Raw genomic sequence first — 6,364 nt, 5'->3', positions numbered from 1 at the left:
TATTCTAGATGGGGGGATATAAAGCTTGTTTCATGACTTGAAGGAAGGATAGAAGTTCTCTGTGTAGGTAGGAGAATCAGGATTCTCCTAACAGAGAGAAGAGAATACATAGAAGCACAGAGGCAAAAGATAGCAAGAATATAACTAAACTGCCAAAAAATTTAGTATAGTTGGCTCATGCCATGCGCAGTAGGAAGGCAAGGATGAGGGAGATGAGGTAGGGCCAGTCATGCCCGCAGCTGGGAGTTTGGGTATTATCCCGTGGTGAGGGGAAGGTCTGATAATTTGTGCAATATCTCTGCCTTCCTTCTTCCTGCCACTGTGCCCTCTCCTTCTTCTATTTCAGTCAGATGTGTGCTTGTCATCCCCACCAAATGAGTCAGATGAGATGAGAGTATTAATTTATTTGAGCGGACATATGTCTACATCATTTGGAGAAAAGGCACCAGACCCACTGTGCACTCTCAAATAATGTGATTAGGGCTAGTTTGAAAGCAGCAAACCTCAGCCCCTCCTAATCAGTCCTGCCTGCTCCAGCCCACTCCATTTCTCAGTTTGTCTTCTCAGCAAATTCTTACTTCCTTAACTCTCCACTCCTCAGCCCCTTTTGCCAACTACACGTACATACTTTGCCCATCTTATAGATTTATAACTCTCCTGTTCTTGTAATTTGTTATGGCAAATTATAATATTCACTGGATTTCTATAATGAAGAAGGGATAAATTTTTTTAGAATCTCTCTCCCTTTATGTGGGGGAAGTTACTGTAATATGAAACATGATCCAATCCTAATCTCCTCACATCTTAGATTCATGGAATTCCAAAGGCAAGATTTGGACACAAATTTAGAGACTGTCTTGTCCAAATGCTTTATTTTAGAAACGTCTTTTAGTCTCAGAGAAACTTATCTAAAATTAACAAGCTCTGGAGTTGGAAGCAACAGAGGCACATCCCAGTTCCTTTACTCAAGGGTGGGTATGTAGGGGTGTGTGTGTGTGTGTGTGTGTGTGTGTGTGCGTGTGGCTGTGTGCACATGTATGGGCATTAGAGGGGATGTGTGGTGGCAGGTCCTGGTCTAGACAGGGAAGTGAAGAAGGTCAGCCGCAATCCCACATACCTGGGTTTTGTGGCCGCTGGAACACTCCTGCAGGAGTTGAGACAGCAGAGAATCCAGGCCATCTGGCCACAAACCCAGCAGCAGGGATCCCTTCCCGTCTGCTCGAGGGTTAAGCTTTGCCCTATTCCTGCTCCTTTCAGTCTCGGCTTTTACTGCTTCTGCTACTTCTACGGACGCAGAAGGTTAATAACTTGAAAGAAACCAACTCATCAGTGTTTACAGCTTCTGCTGACTCTCAGTCTTTCATGGTTAAGGTTCCTGACTTCTCGTTCTCTCCGGGGTTCCTTCGGCTTGTGCCCATTGCTAGCTCTCTTTCCTTCTATCTATCCTTCACACCCCTGAAGACAGAGGGACTGGTTGGTTCATTTAGTTTCATAGTTATTTCTTATGGACAAAGTTCTTGTGTCAGCCACTCATGAAGGCTGCCACTGGGCCTGTGGATCAGTTGTCCTGGGGCCCATCCGCCATGACCAGGATGGCCATGGTCTGTCTTCTTCAGAAGGGACTATGGAGATGGCAGGCCCTAACACGTGTCAAACCTCCTCTCCAAGCAGACTCTGTTAGTGACTATTAGTGACTAAGGTGGAGCCTAAATTCAGGCATTCACATACCTCATTCAGTGTTCTCATGAGGCCCGTCCCGCCCGCTCCCTAGTTCTTCATATCTCTTCCTCACCAGCGTCCTGCCTCTTAGCTCCTCATTCCCCTGGGGCATCCTGTTGTTTCCCCTCTACTGCAGAGCAAGGCCCCCTCTCCCAGACCTTGGTAATATTGAACAGGATCTACTTAATTAATTATAACTGAGAATGGCTCACTCTATTTCTTTGGGTATTTATATTTTTAATGATACCTTAAGCTGAACAAATTCTCCTCTAATGTGATATTTCAGACTGCTAGAAGGAAAGAAAGATTTGGGAGGGAGCACATTTCCCCGGACTACTCCAATTATCATATAAACAAACAGTTATTTATTCTCTGTGTCAATCAATGCAGTTCCAAACTTCTATTAAATATCTCACTACCACCTCTATTTCTTGATGATGATTGATAAATTAATGAGTTTTTTTTTTTCACGAGGCACACAGAATAGGGATGTTGGGACTGGCAGAAATAATCACATTTTATGCTCTGAAAGAGGCTCAGAAGATACAAAATAAAGGACAAGAAAATCTTTTTATAAGGGGGAAATGTTTCTAATTTAAGGATTCTTAAACTTGCCATCACCCATTGCACTAAAGCAAAGCTAAGCTGTCATTCACATATCTGGAATTAGTTCTGTATTCTCAGGGAGTTATTCTTTAGTCAATAATTATTACCCTAGTGTCTACTATAGACTGGGTGATATTCAAGAAACGTCAATTAGTATCTTATGCTGAGTAAGGAGCAGCCATGGAGATACCCATTGTAAATATTTTTATTTTTACGTTCATTTGCATTTGTCTTAACTGAAATAGAGAATATGTTTATGTACATATGTGGGTATATATTTATTAATAGTCTATTTATCTTAACTTCAAGTTATATTAGCAAGATTTTTATATAACTAAACATGTAAAAAGATGTCATCCTCAAAAGATAGTATTCTAATGACTATATAATATTCTATCATTTCAATAGACATGATCATTCCCCCCGTTAATACCAGGGTTGTTCTAATATTTTCACTATTGCAATGATGCTACAATTATCCTTCTACATAAATCATTATTTACATTGATTATTATTCCTTAGAATATATTCCCAGATCTGGAAGTACTGGGCCAAAAAGCATGAAGGTTTTTAAAGTAAGAAAGTTATCTTTGATGTTAGTTGTAAAGAAGCTGCAATGGCAGACATAGAAGCAATGCCAGAACCCTCTTCTCAAGTCTGGAGAAAAATGCATTAGTAGTATTGAGTTTTCTCCATCATGGGAAGGAAACCTACTTTTAAGAAGTGACTTCCAGCTCACGCCTATAATCCTGTAATCCCAGCACTTTGGGAGTCTGAGGAGGGTGGATCACCTGAGGTCAGGAGTTCAAGACCAGCCTGGGCAACATGGTGAAACCCCATCTCTGCTAAAAATACAAAAATTAGCCGGGCCTGGTGGTAATCCCAGCTACTTAGGAGGCCGAGGAATGAGAATGGCTTGAACCCAGGAGGCAGAGGTTGCAGTGAGCTGAGATTGTGCCATTGCATTCCAGCCTGGGAGACAGAGTGAGACTCCATTTCAAAAAAAAAAAAAAAGAAGTGATTTTCGCTTTAGCCTACACTTTTTTGTTCAAGAAACATGTAACTGGGGTTTGGAATCCTTTAATATCATTAACCACATTTCATTGTCACATTAACAGTATTCTCCTGTCAGTGGACTCTATCTACTCTTAGAATAAAATCCCAAGGCCTTTCCTGACTTGAAACATCCACATAATCTGGCCCCTGCCTGCGTTTCCAGCCATGTTGTGACATTCTCTCCTTCCTTACTCTGCAACCACACACTCTTCCTTCAGTTCCCGAGTGTGCAACCTCTCTCAAAGGCCTTAGTCTAGTCATTTCTCTCTGTCTGGAATGTTTTCCCCTCATGCTCTTTACATGGTCTAGCTCTTTCTTTTCCTACAGAACTCAAGTATTTTTTCTCTTTTCTTTTTTCTTTTTTTTTTTTACATTTCAGTAGCTTTTTGGGAACAGGTCGTGGTTGGTTACATGAATAAGCTTTTTAGTGGTGATTCCTGAGATTTTGGTGCACCCAGGACCCGAGCAGTGTACACTGTACCCAGTGTGTAGTCTTTTATCCCTCACCACTCCTATCCTTCCCCCTGAATCCACAAAGTCCATTGTATCATTCTTATGCCTTTGCATCCTCATAGCTTAGCTCCCACTTATGAGTGAGAACATACTATGTTTAGTTTTCCATTCCTGAGTTACTTCACTTAGAATAATGGTCTCCAATTCCATCCAGGTTGCTGCAAATGCCATTATTTTGCTTGTTTTTAAGGCTGAGTAGTATTTTATGGTAGATGTATGTGCCACAATTTCTTTACCCACTTGATTGATGGGCATGTGAGCTGGTTCCATATTTTTGCAATTGCAAATTGTGCTGCTATAAACATGCATGTGCAAGTATCCTTTTAGTATAATGACTTCTTTTCCTCTGGGTAGATACCCAGGAGTAGGATTGCTGAATCAAATGGAAGTTCTACTTTTAGTTCTTTAAGGAATCTCCAGAGTTTTCCACAGTGGCTGTACTAGTTTACATTCCCACCAGCAGTGTAAAAGTGTTCCCTTTTCACTGCATCCATGCCAACCTCTATTATTATTTGATTTTTGGATTATGGTCATCCTTGCAGGAGTAAGGTGGTATCACATTGTGGTTTTGATTTGCATTTCCCTGATCATTAGTGATGTTGAGCATTTTTCATGTTTGTATATGTTTGTTTTTTGCAAATTATCCATTCGTGTCCTTAGCTCACTTTTTGATGGGATTGTTTGGTTTTATCTTGCCGATTTATTTGACTTCCTTGTAGATTCTGGATATTAGTCCTTTGTCAGATGTATGGATTGTGAAGATTTCTCCCAGAGTAAACATGTCTGTTTACTCTGCTGATTGCTTCTTTTGTTGTGCAGAAGCTTTTTAGTTTGATTAAGCCCCATCTCTCTATCTTTGTTTTTGTTGCATTTGCTTTTGGATTCTAGGTCATGAAGTCTTTGACTAAGCCAGTGTCTAGAAGGGTTTTCCCCATGTTATCTTCTAGAATTTTTATGGTTTTGGGTCTTAGATTTAAGTCTTGAATTGAATTCAGGATCCATCTTGAATTGATTTTTGTATAAGATGAGAGAGGAGAATCCAGTTTCATTCTTCTACTTGTGGATTGCCAATTATCCCAGCACCATAAACTCTGAAATCCCTGGAGACCAACACAGTGACTAGCATGTAGTAGTAGGCACTTGATAACTATTTGTCATTACATTTCTAGTGAATTTTACCAGTTGTGGCACTGGGACAAAGTGTCCTATAAGATGAGATATTCAATCTAAAGCCAGATTTTAAGGGAGAAACTTGGCCTTCAGGCCCAAGGTTGAAGTTGATCTGCATTACCTGATGTAGTAGCTAAACAATGTTCCCCAAAAGACATCCATGTCCCAATTCCCAGAACCTTTGAATATCTCAGAATGAAACACTGAGGTTTGCTTGGCCAAACAGCCAGTCAACAACCCACCCCAGGGTTGGGGTAGCTGTGACCTAGGTGTAAAGGCCTGAACTCCAATTTTTAAGTGCTTGTCTCAGAAGAAGTCTGAACTGCAGAAGGCACAGCATCCACTAAAGCCCAAATAAAGCCAGCAGAAGAACCTTTGTGATTACATTTACGGCCCACTGGATAATCCAGGATAGTCCCCCCATCTCAAGGCTCTTTACTCAGTTATACCTGCAAAGTCTCTTTGGCCATATAAGATCAGATGCTCAACTCAAATCTGGGTATAAATCTGAAATGGACCTCAATATGTGCTCTCTGTGAGCTGGTTGTTAGAGAGTGGCCTAGAGTAATTGAAACAATATAGATGATGGCATCAGCCTTTGGTTTGAATCTGAGATTAGGCATTTACTAACTAGCTGGGTAGCCTTGGACCAGTCATCTAACCTACCTGAGGTGTAGTTTTCTTATCTGACAAATGTCAGTAATATCTACCATACAAGATAGTTGTGGAGATTAGAAAGTCTATTAATAATGTGCTGAGTACATAGTAGCTTTGTAAAGTGGTGATTATTATTATTACTGGGGTCTCTTCCAGAAAACCATTGCCAGAGTCATGGATCAGGGACTAAGATTTGTTTTAGGTTGGTGTGCCTGCTCCCCAACCCCAAATACCAAAGAAAGAAGCAGATATCAGAAAGGGAGGTACTAAGGGATTATGTCCATTACTGTGCCCCCTCCCCTACTCCCAGTCTCAAACCCTGTTCATTACCATCAGGCAAACCATAAAATAGGAAATGTGTGTATTTCCCCACCTGGTAGAAAGCCTATGAAACTTCTGTTCAAAAAGTTACCTTTCAGTCCCATTTTCTTCACCTCTAAAATAAGGTTAATAATGGTACCTCCCATACAAGGTTATTGTAAATACAGAAATTAGATAATGCGTGTAAAACACATACCAAGGAACCTGGTGTAAGGTAACTGCTTGATAAATGTCAGCTGTTGCTGTGGTGGTAGTGGCAATGGAATCCCAGAGGTGCTAATAATGAGGAGGAGGATGGTGATGATGATGATTCAATGAGAGT

General features: G+C 40.8%; 1 annotated feature.

The window, feature by feature from the left end:
* Positions 4,443-4,944: an enhancer, noted in NCBI's record as "NANOG hESC enhancer chr6:47306925-47307426 (GRCh37/hg19 assembly coordinates)". NCBI's record gives its function as "activates a minimal SCP1, AML or CMV promoter by ChIP-STARR-seq in primed H9 embryonic stem cells {active_cell/tissue: H9 hESC(primed)}" and the evidence as "EXISTENCE:reporter gene assay evidence [ECO:0000049][PMID:30033119]".

The sequence above is a fragment of the Homo sapiens genome, chromosome 6, assembly GCF_000001405.40.
Source record: "Homo sapiens chromosome 6, GRCh38.p14 Primary Assembly".
Taxonomy (NCBI): Eukaryota; Metazoa; Chordata; class Mammalia; order Primates; family Hominidae; genus Homo; species Homo sapiens.
Note: the sequence above shows the minus strand (reverse complement) of the source record. Positions and strands in the feature narration are given on the sequence as shown.